This window comes from Homo sapiens, chromosome 5 (assembly GCF_000001405.40).
Source record: "Homo sapiens chromosome 5, GRCh38.p14 Primary Assembly".
Taxonomy (NCBI): Eukaryota; Metazoa; Chordata; class Mammalia; order Primates; family Hominidae; genus Homo; species Homo sapiens.
Window position 1 is genome coordinate 53,074,336 of NC_000005.10, and position 15,969 is coordinate 53,090,304.

The 15,969-nt window shown below is 38.3% G+C and overlaps 1 protein-coding gene across 6 annotated transcripts in view; it reads left to right on the forward strand.

The window, feature by feature from the left end:
- The window catches only part of ITGA2 (integrin subunit alpha 2), a 105,428-nt gene that overhangs the window by 84,984 nt on the left and 4,475 nt on the right, over nucleotides 1-15,969 (forward strand). For 4 of the 6 annotated variants that reach the window (NR_073105.2, NR_073104.2, NR_073107.2 and 1 more), the window contains 9 exons: nucleotides 50-142; nucleotides 726-802; nucleotides 886-969; nucleotides 4,437-4,539; nucleotides 6,176-6,286; nucleotides 7,257-7,361; nucleotides 9,005-9,118; nucleotides 12,617-12,706; nucleotides 15,611-15,727. Coding sequence is in view for 1 of the 6 variants with exons in the window: in NM_002203.4 (NP_002194.2) it covers nucleotides 50-142; nucleotides 726-802; nucleotides 886-969; nucleotides 4,437-4,539; nucleotides 6,176-6,286; nucleotides 7,257-7,361; nucleotides 9,005-9,118; nucleotides 12,617-12,706; nucleotides 15,611-15,727 (894 nt within the window). In the remaining 5 variants the exon portion in view is untranslated. The remainder of the gene's footprint in view (nucleotides 1-49; nucleotides 143-725; nucleotides 803-885; nucleotides 970-4,436; nucleotides 4,540-6,175; nucleotides 6,287-7,256; nucleotides 7,362-9,004; nucleotides 9,119-12,616; nucleotides 12,707-15,610; nucleotides 15,728-15,969) is intronic. The other 2 variants (NR_073106.2, NR_073103.2) reach the window with 2 other exon arrangements.

A 15,969-nucleotide genomic window follows, 5' to 3' on the forward strand; every position in this document is an offset into this window, starting at 1 on the left:
CAAATGTTGTATGCCAATTGATCATTGTTGTTTCCTTGGTCTTGTTCAGGTTGATGGGACAGAAGTAACATGCCAGGTGGCTGCATCTCAGAAGTCTGTTGCCTGCGATGTAGGCTACCCTGCTTTAAAGAGAGAACAACAGGTACAACTTGCATTTCATCCTCCAATCCATACAAGCCCTCCTTAGCACATATGCTAATTTACCAACATAACATCTTGCTATCATGATTTGATAGGCATCACAAAATAACTAGCTGCATACTTAGGGGAAGTTTTCAATATCTAAATGTTTTCTTTAAATTATTAATAAAAATGGGATTTTCTCCATGCAATTCATTCCAAAAGGTACACATACTATGGAAAGTTCTTTTTGTCTAAATATGTTGAGCAACATTGGTCAAAGCACTATACACAGAGTCACAGAGATCATTTATTAACCCCTAGTAACAAGTTTCACATCAGCTCAAAGCTTCCAAATTCAGACAGGTATATACGCCTGGATAACTTACATGTGTCACTTGGAAGTCAAGCTTCTCTAATTCTAATGTGAGGCATAGTAAAACAAGGTGGACAAATAAAGATATTCCACAAATTTGAAAGCTTAAGGTATATAAAATTCAGAATCAAATTTGAGTGAGTTTACTTTTATGAGAAACATTTTTTTTTTCACGTTGGCCTCTGAGTATGAAGCATCATAGACTGAGAAATTTTAATTTTGTCTTTAGGTGACTTTTACTATTAACTTTGACTTCAATCTTCAAAACCTTCAGAATCAGGCGTCTCTCAGTTTCCAAGCCTTAAGGTAAAACATAATGAAGTCATGAATGGAATGATGGATAGCTTTGTATTTCTCTTTAAGTAATTTCCTAATGTTTCTTTCTATAGTGAAAGCCAAGAAGAAAACAAGGCTGATAATTTGGTCAACCTCAAAATTCCTCTCCTGTATGATGCTGAAATTCACTTAACAAGGTAGGTGAAGCAGTGGGTAACCTGCTATCACTGACACCAACTCTAGATCAGAAGATTTTTGGCTCATGGCTAAAGAAGTCCTCTGTATGCTCATTCTTAACTGAAGAATTTGAATTAAAATTCTTGTCAACTAAAACAGGAGTCCACAGACATATTGGTCCCTAGGAAAACCTTGAGTGACTCGTTAGGCTTATTAAACCAATGAGAGTAGCCCAGAAAGGCAGAGAAAGATCCCCGTAGCCACACATCACAGGCACACTCCACATTGCAGGCCCTCTGAGTAGCTGCAAACATTCTCAAAATGTTGAAACAGAACTCTCAAAGGTCCTGAGAGTTGTCTTCACTTTCTTCTCACTGCCTACTTCCCATTGTATGTGAGATCTCAAGCAGTATCCCCATTCCTGGACATTGAAGCCCCAAGCACAATGTTTTGCACAGAGTAGGTCCACAATAAATATTGAATCTAGTCACTGTTTGAATATTCAAATATTGGAACTAGATCAAGTCTAGTTTCTGAGGGAAAAATTCCTCACATATCAGATTAGGGTTTTCTTCCAGCCAGGTGGAAATGAGGTTTTTTCCAAAGGATGTTATCCATAAAGAAATGCTTTGTTCCCTGTTTTTACCTGCCCAAAGCAAGCAAACCTGAGAGCAGTGGTGTAAATGTCACTGGTTGATACAGGCTGTCTTTAATTGTTCAGAGGGACAGGTGTCTTGGTAAGTGGGTAACACACAAATTCCACAGGTTCTAATAGGTCGATATCACTTTAACTCACACTTAGAAGTAAGGTGAGTTCATGGCACAGACAAACTGGAACACAGTTGTGCAGATGCACTGGGCACAGGTGATGCCCTCCTACAGGCCTGGGAACCAGAGTTCTCTACCTGGTGAAGCAATAGGACAGCTTCCCAGCACAGATCAATGACCCCTGAATAGCACACTGCAGCACTTTCCCAAGAAATCCAGTGACAGCAGGTTTGTCTAACTTCTACCACATCACTCCAGCCCCTAAGAGCATGGAATCTGTAGATCATCCAATAGCTCTCTGAGCAAAAACAAAAAGGAAAATATGTCATCATGTCTAGAGCTTGAGCCAAACAGCAAAGATGAAAAGAATGCTTCTGTATCAAGTGAGTTGCAAATAGCACAAGCAGAAACAAAATTCCGTCCAAATAATACATCTCTGAAAAAGTCATCAGTAACTGCAGACTTCAAAGGATCCCCACTTGCTAAAATAAGAAATTGGAAACAAATGCAACCAACCCAAATTGATGTTACCACATTACCTGAATTTTTTCCTTCTTATATTTGATCCTTTCTTCTAAATATTTTTTGTCAATACAGTCTTTTTATTATTCTACTCTCCTACAATGGCCAATATTTTCCCAGATATTTAAGAATGAAATAAATATAAGATTGAAATGAGACTTTACTTTTACTAATTATCATCTTAGGCAGGTATTTTTGTAATGGCAACTTGAATTCAAATGTATTCTAATGTTCTTTAAAATATATCCTCAAAAAAATTAACGTAGGGAATTATAAAGAACAAAAGTTAAAATGGGTCCTAGTCCTACTACCTAGAAAACCCAAACATTGGAGAAAGGTAGACAGTGAGAAGTCATCCCTCCCCACCTTCCCTAGTGCCACTCCCCATAAGAGACTGTTTTCAGAATATCTTCCAGATACAGGGTTGCTTATCTACCAGGATATATGCATGTAACACACACATACACATATATATACACACACATGTGCACATTTTATTACCCAAAAGGAATGATAAAACACTCTTCTGTACCTTGCATTTTACATAATCTTAGAAAAGTTTTCATATGAGGACATACAGATCTAACTTATTCCAGTCCTGGCTGGATCATAATTTATGTAACCAATTCAATATTAACAAGACATTTGGTTGTTTTGCATTTTTATTTTGTTTTGTTTAACCATCATAAGCAATGCTGCAAAAAAAATAACAAACATCTTTGCAAACTTTTGGAAAAAATCCTACACAATAACTTAGTGTATTTCTTAGCAACAACTTTGATACTGTATAACTGTACAGTTATATTGTAAAAAAAATGATGGGTAGAAATAGCGATAATAGTATTATTTCTGAAGCAGGATCCCCCTGAGTATAGATATTTACTATTATAAATATATTGATCAACACTTAAGTAACAAATGGAAAAGTGTCAGATCTCTTTAAAATGCAAATGCAGACCATATTAATTTAGAAATTGGCCCCATTTAGGATCTCACACAAAGATCTTCTGGAAGGCATAGGAAATAATTCATGCACACACATCCAAGCTTTCTGTTTCAAATCCTAGTCAGTTTTCCCATTTTCCATGTCAGGCTGACAAATCATTGTTTCCTCTCATATATAACCTTGACAAATACATCCACTCAAGTCTCCCTGTGACATATTTTCCTTTTAAGGATATGGAAAAAATCATTAAGGCATAAAAGAGGGAAAGACAAGGTTTTAGTAAAGAAACCCAAAAAATTCTACTTCAGAAAATATCCACCCCAAGTTTTTAAGAAATAGAATCAACATTCTATAATTAACGTAAATTGTCCAGTGGGAATAAATGGAAAGGATATGCACAGTGTTCTCAGACCCCTACCCTCACTGCTCATCCCCTAATCCCCCACGCAAAGAAGCTACCCTGGTTGGAATCCCACCTCAGAGCCCCAGAAATGAGTGAGGAGAGGGGAGGTCCCCAGTTTCATTCTAGTCTGAGTGGTCCTATGAGGGTTTCTCTGATCTCATCATCACTTTGCTTGCAGAACTTAGTTGGCAATCTTAAGCAAAGAAGTTAAGATCAATCCAGTGGCTTTAGGTCCAGAATACTAAAACCTCTGGATCATCCATCTTAAAGGTGGTCTCTACACTAATGGTGGAAACAGATTTGACCAACCTCATTCAGACCCAAACCATTCAAATTGGTTTGCAACTAAAGAAGGATAGGAAGAACGAATAATACAGGCATCCAATAATGAACACTGAAGGAGCTCAATACCCTATTATTATATTTTAGCCACACCAAAGTGAAAACCCCTGGCTTATAAATCCATTCATTCAACTAACAAGTACTGATTGTCTACTATGTTAACATACTAGTCAATATAACAGTAATCTTGGGAAGACTTCTACTATCAATTCTAAAGTAATACTTTTGTACTTATTTAGAAACTTGAGAATTGGTAGACATGTAATGCACAAACTCTTAGCAGAAAATCCACAAAGAAATATGTTTTCAAAGGAATTTATGTTAGTCTTAGAAACATACATTGGACGATAAGCCCATAGGCAAGCATTTCTTTTTATTTGGTGCTTTTGTAACTAAAAGTAAAATTTACTTTAACCTAAGCTATAAGATACTTAAATAAAAGAAATATTAACCTTCAAGAACAAAAGCAAACTAAAATATTTGGCTTTACAAACATCATCCAACAGATCTACCAACATAAATTTTTATGAAATCTCTTCGGATGGGAATGTTCCTTCAATCGTGCACAGTTTTGAAGATGTTGGTCCAAAATTCATCTTCTCCCTGAAGGTTGGTAAGCCTGTCATAAGGATGGCAAATCCAGGAGAAAGTGAGAAGAAAAAAAATGAGTCTGGAAATAAAAGGAGAAAGTAAAAAGAAATTGAAAGAGATCCGTGGTTCTCAAACTTGGGTGTGCATTACAATCACCTGGAGGAATTGTGAAACCACAGATGCTGGGCTTTATCTCCAGCGTTTCTGATTCAGTAGGTCTAGGGTGGGCCTACACATTTGCATATCTAACAAGCTCCCAGGTGATGCTTATGCTGCTGGTCCAGGTGCCATACTTTGATAACCAATAGGCTAGATCATAGTTAAGTAAACAACTGGGCTTTGTGCATAGTTATGTGTCTTGGGTAAGGGATACTTGATATATTTTGAAGGCAAATGTTCAACATTAACCAACAGAGCATTACTATAAAGGAAGGTATTGCTGTGGGTAAAAGTCTTTGGCATATAATTATTATGCCAATTTATCCTCAGAGACCACTTCTGTTTGAGTTTACCATTTGTATACAAATCTGTACAGTAATACTAGGTAGTATCTAAAAATATTTTTGAACCAAATTCTATTTACTATTAGTAAGCGATTATTAATCTAAAGATTACTACCAGTTAAAGATAAATTAATTTGTGAAAGAATAACTATTTTATATTGTAATTAAAGTTAAAGAAACTTTGGAAAGTAAAAAGAATTTATCCACTATCCTAAGCCAATACCATTTTATTTTTGTTCATTTCTCACTTGTTTGTTACATGGTTGCAACTCTGCAATTTTGTGATAAAAAAAATCTTTAGAAGAATCTTTATGATCTAGATACTACAATAGAATTTATAAAATGTGGATGGTATTTGGCAACTACATTCTTTAATGGGGCATCTATTCAATTCGCGGTAATAACATTCATAGAGTGTGTAATAAGTATACACCAGCCATGGTATCAAGTGCTTTACATATGTTATCCCATTTAGTTCCCAGATCGGTTATGAGCTTGGTATTATTATTCCCAGGGATGTTATTTAAAATATTTAAATAACCAGTAGTGTATGAGCCCTGGCCAATTAGAACAGAAACCCCCACCCATGAGAACAGATGCTGTACCAGTGCCCTGTGCCAGCACATACATACTGAATTTCTGATCATCTTTATTTTACAAATAAGAAAAGCATAGAGAGGTCAAGTTCCTTGCCCAAGCCACACTGCTAATCAGCAGCAGACTGGGACACAACACTCCGGCAGCCCAGCTCCACAGATGGCATTTTTAACCATTTATACCACATGTCTCACAAAGTCACAAATTACTTACCCATTAACATTGTAGATGTTGAGTTTTTTTCCATTGAGCCATTTATGCCCAGTGTTCCATTATTGGCGCACTAAGCATGTGGGAGTTACTTATATCCTACTGCTCAAGGTCATTGCCAAGGTATGATCGAAATTTCAAAAAAATTGCAACCTCAGGCATAAATGCGTTTTAAGAGGTGAGACACAGAGACCTGAAGTGTGACTATAAAGTAATGGCTGACTTTCATTTGGACTCAGTCTTACCACCTCGTAGTTGCCCTTCATCAACACGGGGTTACTGGTGAATTTCCTTGCATCATGTACATCCTGTTGCAGTACTGGCACATTTTATTCTCTACATAGGTAACAACAGGAAGTGTTCCAGTAAGCATGGCAACTGTAATCATCCACATCCCTCAGTATACCAAAGAAAAGAACCCACTGATGTACCTAACTGGGGTGCAAACAGACAAGGTAAAGATTAAAAAATTGCCTAAAAATGTGTACTTTCAAGATGTAAATAACCCATGAGATTAGGGTGATCATGTCTGACATTTTACAGATGGGAAACAGATGGTAACTCCTATGCAGCCTGGGTGCCAACTGACTAGCAGTTAATTTCATATTAGAAAAAATATTGTTACAAGAAAACAAATGGCTGAGTCTAGGGAATTGCAGGTGGCAGAAATTATTCCAAAAACCCCATTTTGGCCTGGTGAAGATCTGACTTTGACAGGCCCTGTGAAGGCTGGGAGGTAAGGGGCTGGACCTATATGGGGAGCATAGCAGGTCTTCACAGCTGTGATAAGGAGCTGGTCTTCAAGCAGCCAGCCTGGACTTTCGCCTGGTAATACTCAACCCTGGCTGTTCATTTTAATCCCTCTGTTCGCTCTTTTAAATAACAGTGCCCAGACCTAACCCAGGCAATTAAATCAGAAGCTCTAGGGGTAAGATTCTTACACCAGAGTTTTTCTTTAACCACCCCCACTCCATCCACACCATGGTTCTAACACGCAACCTGGGCTGAGAAGCGCTGCTCTAGCCAAACCTCTTGACATTGGCTCATCTTCAGTCCAACAGTTGTATTATTCAACAGTTGTATTATTTCTGTAGTGTGCATAGGAGGCTACAGAAAAATCAAAATCCTAAAATGTTCCAGAGAAAATTACCCTGAATTATTCACAGTGTTTAGCTATTGCAGATTTGCCTCATCATATGTGGGCTATAAAAACCTAGCCCACCTCATCAGTTCACATCAGGAGCATTTAAATACTTGATGTTCACCTAGAGATTATATGAAGTGTGGCCAGGTCAGTGGCGTTGAAAGAAGCCTAACAGCCCTTCCCAGACCCCTACAAGTGACAGTAGGATTTCCTAACATGTTGAAAGGAACATCATAAACTGTTTTGCTTCTGAAGTCTGATCGGGTGTTCTTCTTTTATAGGCTGGTGACATCAGTTGTAATGCAGATATCAATCCACTGAAAATAGGACAAACATCTTCTTCTGTATCTTTCAAAAGTGAAAATTTCAGGCACACCAAAGAATTGGTGAGGACAAGTTAACGTGTGAAAGCTCCCCTCATTCATTTATTTCACCTGTGATCAGGACGCTGCTTTTCTCCTACCAGCTGATATCATAGAGCTTTCTTATTTTGCCTTTGATGCTTATATGAGTCAAGATTTAGAAAATATTAGGTTGGTGCAAAAGTAAATACGATTTTGAAACCCACAATTTACGTTTGCACCAACCTAATATGTGGTCAAATCTAGGTTACTGGAATTATCTTATGCCACTTCTTACAAAATATAAGTTCCAGACTTTATGACATCAGAAAAACTCATGTGAAGCTATTGTGTTTATGCGTTGTGCACTTTGGAAACAAGGCAAAGAGCTGTGAAGGAACTAGCTGTGTGCTACAGAGGAGAAGCCCCTTAAATCCCCCTTCCACATAATACTGATGTTTTTTATTTAGCTGTGAAATATGCTGCTGCACTTCTCTGTTTTTCAATATTTTGTTATTTCCTGTTCTCAAGCTATGCCTGCTTCTTTGGGAAAGAGACTAGTCTAGCATCTGGCATGGTGCTCGGCACATATTAAATATTCAAATAAAGTAAACCTTTAGTAAGCAATAACTCCTAAACAAACCTCAGCTCTCCCCTATGAACAATATTGGAATTCTCCTGGTTTTCTTTAATTGCAGTTGTTTTATTTTGTGAAGGATGGGGAAAACAGGAAACCAGAAGAATAAAATTATTTCTTTTAATGTGTATTAATCTACAAGTAGGTAAATGCATGCTGTAACTGAAGTGGGCCACGCTACCTTTTGGCCTTGAACATAGGCCAATGTGTCATAGATTTTCAATTAATGACTTCATTTTTTAATGCAGTTTTACATTCATGGAAGAATTGAGTGGAAAGTACAGAAGTTCCCATATACCCCCTGTCCCACACAGCCTCCCCCACTATCAAAATCCCGCACAAGAGTGGTATATTTGCCACAATCGATGAAACTACATTACTATATCATTATCAACCAAAATCCATAGTTTACATTAGGGTTCACTCTTGGTGTTGTTAAAATCCACGCTGTGGAATTTGACAAATGTAAAATGACATGTATCCACCACTATAGTATCATACAGTGTATATTCACTGCCCTACACATCATATGTGCTCTGCTTATTCATCCTGCCCGCCCCACTAGCCCTTGGAACCACTGATCCTTTTTCTGTCAACTTGTTTAAAAACCTAGGGAGTCTATAATTAGGTTTAATGACAAATTGTAGTACATTTTGTGCATGTTTACTAATTTATTTAACTAGTACATTGTTGCTAAACAAGTTACAGTTTTGGGGGGGGTTGGTTTTTAGGTTTTTTTACTCTTAGAAATAGTAGTGCAATAAACAGGCTTGGGGTACTTTGTTCCACATATTGCTGATTATCTCCTGAGGCTATCTATACAGACAGGAAATGGATGGGGTAAAGAGTGTGCACTTGGTACATTTTGAGATATAGTCCCACAATCCCTTGAAGGAGGGCGGGAGAGTTAGAACTACTAATAGCTCATGAGATTGCCTGTTTCCCTAGGTGTGTCCCAGCACTGAGTTTTATCTAGCTTTAAAATTTTAGCATTTATTTTTTAACTCTTACTAACTTGCTCTCTCTTTTACCTTTGACTCAATACTATAAGAACTGCAGAACTGCTTCCTGTAGTAATGTTACCTGCTGGTTGAAAGACGTTCACATGAAAGGAGAATACTTTGTTAATGTGACTACCAGAATTTGGAACGGGACTTTCGCATCAGTAAGTATCAGTTTTATTTGTTAGATTTATCAATAGCAAGGAAACATAAGTCTGCACTGACAAGTTCTTCCCCTTTGACAAAATAAGTATTCTGGCTAATGTCTGCAATGGCCAAATAACCCAGAGCATTTTACCCTGAAAGGCAGCACACTTCCATCGCTTTCCAATGCCCATCCAATTTAGCAGTGCCTCAGAGTCATCTGGGATACTTGTGAAAGGGTCTGTTTCTCAGACTCCATGCGACCTACCACATCAATGGGAATGGTGTCAGGGTCATCTCTGCGGCCCTGGGCTACAAGGGGCAGCCTGCTTTGTCCCCCTCTAGGGGTTCCTCCACTCTCCATCTTCCCAGTCTCCTGTGCCACACCCAAATCAAAATGTCTGTGTCTCTGTCTCACTCCTTGAGCTCTCAGTTAATTGTATGATTGATCTCAAACCACCTAGTAGATGAATCTAGCATAAAGATATGTCTTCCTATATTACAGCCAGGTCATCACCCTGCTCTCCTGTTTTACCCTTTTCCTGTTGGGAGAGCCCAGTGGGCACATGACTTTCTAAATCATCTCAATCCCCATGAAAGTTTGAAGAAAAAGCCAAAACAATGTCATTGTTTTTTTCCATATGGCAACTGTGAGTCTGCTCTAGTTATATTTGCTTTCAGCAGGGATTTTGGTAGCTAGAATTTCAGTCTGGCATGAAAAAATATAAGGATAGACAGGCCTCCTTAAACTGGACTGCTTGTGTGGCTAGCATTCCTTTTACTGACATGGGCTCCAATTGAGGAAGAAAAACAGAAATTAGTCTGAAACCTCCTGGGGATCTTTGTAGCTCTTACTAGATTTTTTTTTTCTTTTTAACAAATAAATCAGTTCCCAAGGTGCTTACAACCAAACGCTACTCATTTTTTTTTCTGTTTATCATTTCATGATCTCTCCAATAAATCCACTTCCTGCTATAGAGTTTTGTAAAACTGGAGAACTCAGCACCCTCCAAACTCATCCCTGGAGTCAAATATAAGCAATATTCTTGGACAAAGACATAGAAGAAAACGGAATAGTAAAAGTTAGAACAAAATGCAGAATTGGGGGAATGGGGAAGTGAGGAGTTGAATATTTCTTCTGGCTTGCTTGCTTGCTTTTACTTTGTTTTCTTGTTAGTTGCATTTGCTTTCAAGTCTTCAGGACAATTCTAGGTCCTTTAAGACGTGAAGCGTGCCGTTAGTTGTTATCACCTTCCCAGCTGCTGCAGTGTGGTGCTCAGTTTTGCTCCATTGGTTCTTGGCTCCTTGGATTTGAGGAACAAATGTTTTCATAGCAAATTTTGCCAACTGGAAGGAACACTGACTGTTGCACATCAAAATGCACACATGCCAGCTCTGTAAAACACATTTGGATTTTCTTGAGTTTAAGACTACATCACTTTAACTGTGAAACTTTTTAAAGTACCTTCCCAACGATCTTCAGAAGCAGTTTATTTCTGGGAGTAAACTTCCTAGAAAGTGTAGTATTTATGCTGCTTTAATGTGGCTATGGTGGTTAAACTAAGAAAACACCCTTGAGATGTCAAGGTATGTCAAGTGACATACAAGGATTGTGTCAAGTCCTACATATCTTCCTCCTTCATGAAAAGTCAAATGTTTATCCTCACCTTGCTTCCAGCAATTTAAGCAGCAAAGTGGATGTTTCTCAGACCACTTAGGAGATCCAGTCTGAAATATGGATCTCATTTCCTGTATTTGAACCCATTAATGCACTGCCTTTTGTTGCTACCCTTTCTCTGATGTAGTGCAAGGCAACTTAACATTTCAAGTAATTTCATTACAAAGTGATTGATCAGGGCTCCAAATTGATGATAGAGTTGCTGCCATTTGTAGGGAGAAGCCTTGTTGAACGCTAGCAGGTGCGTTACTTCACTCTCCAGATGTGTGTGGCATGCTTACCTCTACTTGTTAACCCTGCAGGATATTGTATGCCTGTGAGAAGGGCCTATTTTGAGAATGCTATAAGAAAAATTCTTTCATCTTTAGTCTTTGGGGATTATGAAACCAGCATTTACTTAACTGCTGCTTTTTTTCTTAAACTTAAACCATTATCAATACTCTTAATGTTTCCCCCAATAATATGTTTAAGAGACTGGTGAGCATGGTTAATTTCTGATCCAATCATCTATATTGAGAAAATTAACAGTAACCAGAGACTGAGCCAGTGGAAAGGAAATAAATTGCTCAGTTTTTGGAAATACATTCTTTCTGGCTCCCAGATATTGTTTAGCAAATTACCTCACAGAGTATGTCCAATAATGTGCCCTAGTAACCAGAAAAACTGAGTCCTAGTAGCCACAGCATGTGAAAGCAGCTCTAACATCTAAGCGCTGCATTCCGCTTCACAGTAGCATCAGACCTAATGTAGAGAAAATAGTGAAATATACACATCAATAATGTTTCTATTGAAAAAATAGACTTTTTTTTTTCCCCCAGACAGAGCCTTGCTCTGTTGCCCAGGCTGGAGTGCAGTGGCTTGATCTCAGCTCACTGCAACCTGTGCCTCCTGGGTTCAAGTGATTCTCCTGCCTCAGCCGAGTCGCTGGGATTACAGGTGCCCACCACCATGCCCGGCTAATTTTTTATATTTTTTAGTAGAGTCAGGGTTTTGCCATATTGACCAGGCTGGTCTTGAACTCCTGACCTCAAGTAATCTACCCACCTCAGCCTCCCAAAGCGCTGGGATTACAGATAGAAGCCACTGTGCCCTGCTGAAAACTAGGCTCTTTTTCTGTAACTAGATGGAGGAATGAATGTAAAGTTATTTCGAATTAGTAAGTTACCAGTGACATCAGCATAAAATATCCTTCCTATATACCTGCCCCAAATTAAGTATTATTTGATAGAAACACTTAGATAGGAAATCTGAAGTTATACTGATGTGATATAACAAGCTGAAAGGTTCAGGGCCATGGGTGGTCAAGTTCAAGTGCACTTTTAAACACTATCATTTTACACACATGTACCCAGAAGGAAAGTTCTCTTACCTTTTAAATGTTGGTTTTCCATTCCATTGTGTGACTTATTCAGGTAAGTATACAAAGATGCCAAGTTTACAATTTTCTCTCATGTCACAAACTTATTTTTTAAAAAATCTGAACTGTGATCTTCCCAGTTAGAAATATTCATTTTTAAATCCTCACTTTTCAACCCAGTTCTCAAGTTCAGATCTCCTCAGGGAGATATTTTAACCTACTCATGTCTGGATCCCACCCCAGAGAGTTGATTTGTGGTGGCAAGGTGCAGACAGACATGTATTAAAATTACCCGAGGTATTTCTGACGGGCAGTCCTGTTACACAGCACTGGTTTAAGCACACACAGATTCTGGATGGGTCTTCAGAACCATTTGCTCTTGTCACATTCCACCAGGAAATAAATACATAAATCATAAGCATGCCAGCTTCTCTGCATTTGCTGCTGCTACGATAAAACATATTCCTTATTCTTATGTTCCAGTCAACGTTCCAGACAGTACAGCTAACGGCAGCTGCAGAAATCAACACCTATAACCCTGAGATATATGTGATTGAAGATAACACTGTTACGGTGAGCATATCACACCCTTCCCTGTGAGCCTCAGGGTCTGTGATGGCATTCCACTTCTAAAAGCCTGGGATAGTCACTCTTCTTACCTACATGTATGTAGAAGTATCTTACTAAAACTTTAAAGATCTGATGTTTATTATGTTGAGATTTTGGCGAGGGTGTGTGCTACTTAAAAAGTTCAGTGATACACTTGCCTTCCTCCATGCCCCCCACTCATGTCAGCAAAGCTGGCTTTCCTAGAGGTGGTGATCCAGTGAGAAGTACAACAAAAGGGGCTCTATGTTCTTTGGGACTCCATGGTGTCTCTTCTCATGACTAAGCCAGCAGCACCAGTTCTTCCTTTCTCCTCCTGCTTACACAAAATGGTCTGGAGCTTAGGCCACAAAACTTAATCATGCTTATTTAAATCATAAATTGTATTTTGAAAAATTTTTAAAGAAAGGTACTGAAGCATGCTTAATAAATAATGCATTTATTAGAGGGTTTTAAAAAATAGTTCTCCTTACAACTAGACACTGACACTGTGTGGCATGTCCATTCATTAGATCTTACATTCGGGAGGACTATAAATGGTCCCCTTGATAAAAAAAAAAAAAAAAGCTTTTACAGAGAAATGTACTTTCACAGAAAACAAAGGCTCTCTGTTCTAAGAGCTGGCATGAGATAATTTTCCTCTGCACTGACTCTGGTTAGAATATGCCATGTTTAGATACAGTGGGATTTCCATGCCCAGCTAATCTGCTGGCAGAGCCCTGAGCATTTTCCTCCCAGTGCTTGTGTTAGGAGTTGAAAGCCAGTTTAAGAGTCTGCCCCCAAGGCCAGCTTGGCAGTTGGCCTCAGTCCACTCCTCTGGCTTGGTCAAAAAGTTATGGCCCCATGAACTATGGGCCTCCTCACTCCATGCCTGAGAGTGAAGCTCACAGCACTGGAGCCCCACTCTTGTCCAAGGGAAAATGATTCTACGCAACAGAGCACACTTCTCTGCCTCTGGTTTAGGAGCCTCAGTGAAAGCCTACACCCTCTCTTCAGACACTGGGGCCTGGAAAATCAGAAATAGAGCCAAAGGAAATGCAGACTTCAAATTCAAAATGCTATGAACTTAGCATAGGGGAGAAGTATTATAGATTTTTTTTAAAAGCTCATTTTAGAAAAACATAGTGTTCAGACAATATGTGAAACTCTACTGAAGACTGTTTTTAGAAAGCAGTATTAAATATATCAATTGGAAATTCAAATGAACAATTTTAATAAATCCATTAGATTCCTCTTTTATTGGTTTCCTCTGAGCAATACTAATAAATAACAGAAGCCAATTACTAGGTGCAAAAGTAATTGTGGTATTTGCCATTAAAAGTAAAGAAAGGCTGGGCACAGTGGCTCAAACCTATAATCCCAGCACTTTGGGAGGCCGAGGCAGGCGAATCACCTGAGGTTGGGAGTTCGAGACCAGCTTGGCCAACATAGTGAAAACCTGTCTCTACTAAAAATACAAAAATTAGCTGGGTGTGGTGGTGCACGCCTGGAATCCCAGCTACTCAGGAGGCTGAGGCAGGAGAATCGCTTGAACCTGCGAGGCAGAGGTTGCAATGAGCTGAGATTGTGCCACTGCACTCCAGCCTGTATAACAGAGAGAGACTCTGTCTCAAAAAAAAAAAAAAAAAAAGTAAAGAGAAAGTACTTTTAATGGCAAAGACTGCAATTACTTTTGCACCAGCTTAATATTACTCAGTTGTGTCTATGAAAAATTTTTTAATCTAAACAATAATTTGGATAAATTTTTGAATAAGGTATGTAACCTAAATAATAACTTCACATGTTCCTAAGTATCTGTTAATTTATTTGAATGCCTGGCCCACTTAAAAATCTGATCCACAAAATGCTATAGTCATGGGTCCATAGGGATCCGTGGTTCCCTGGGTTAGAAAGCTGTGGAAAAGAGAGAAGTAGGCTTATGACTGCCATTAAGCAGTGAGCTACAAGAATTTATCATCACTTTATTCATAAATTGATAAAGCCTTACATTTTAGCTCTTGAAGATACAAATGAAAGGAAATACAGTCACCAAGGCCAGTTGCAAGTTTAGCCCAGCCCATAAATTTATGACAAAAAGCAGCTCATCTGCCATTGCAATTTAATGTTACATCAAGTAAATAAAACACATATTATCCTCTTCTTTTGCTTCTAAATACAGCTCTTTAGGAATATTTTCTAAAGAGAATGCTTGAGACACTTTCCCCAATTAATTAAATTTCCCCTAATTAATTAAAAACTGAATATACAGTTTTACTGTTAACACTCAGGGCAGCCATTCCATTACAGCATCTCAAAGATTGCCAGGAAGCAGATACAAAGAATCCTAAGTAGCCTGAAGGACAACGTTCCCACTGAAAAGGTCAACTTGACCCTTGAGATATTATTTCTACTTTTCCAACAATATCAACTTGGAATGAGGTTTAAGTGAAACTAGTATTTTAGACACCCAATACAAAGCTGCTGTTTCATCACCATGAAGTTGGGTTAAAGAGTTTCTTCGACTCCCTTCCCCAAAGCTGTTTGCTTTCACTTGATGATGCTTTCACTTGATTTGAATGTATGCCAGAAATGGAAGTTTCTATTTCATAAGTAAGATAAGCATCTGAGATTGTCAGGCATGATGTAGCCACAAGACACTGATGTAGTTAAAGCGGAGAAACTAGAAAAGTTGTATTTTTTAGCTGGTTGGACTTTGCAGGAAGATTTTCTCTAAAATTATTCTGACAATGTTTGAGATACGCCATCATGAGCAAGTCTTGTCACCTTTCTAGAGCTGTAGACCTTCACTTACAGAATTAGAGAATTGGACTAGACCATCTCCCCCCTTTTTTGTGGTATTAAAATAACTCAACTGTGAACTGACATTTCCAGATTCCCCTGATGATAATGAAACCTGATGAGAAAGCCGAAGTACCAACAGGAGTTATAATAGGAAGTATAATTGCTGGAATCCTTTTGCTGTTAGCTCTGGTTGCAATTTTATGGAAGGTAAGAAAAGCTTTATATTTTAAAATACAGGGCTCCTGAAGGCCAGCCTTGAATTTGCTTACAAAACATCAACTTCAGGTTTTATATGGTACCTTCTCTATCACAAGGAGAAAAGAAATGCAAATTTGTTTATAATTTCTTACTCATGTCATTAAAAACAACCAGTAAGGATTTTTCTTCTTTTAAACCTTCCTTTCATCCAGAGCCCTGAATGTTTTGTTCAGCTTCAAATAAGTAGACGC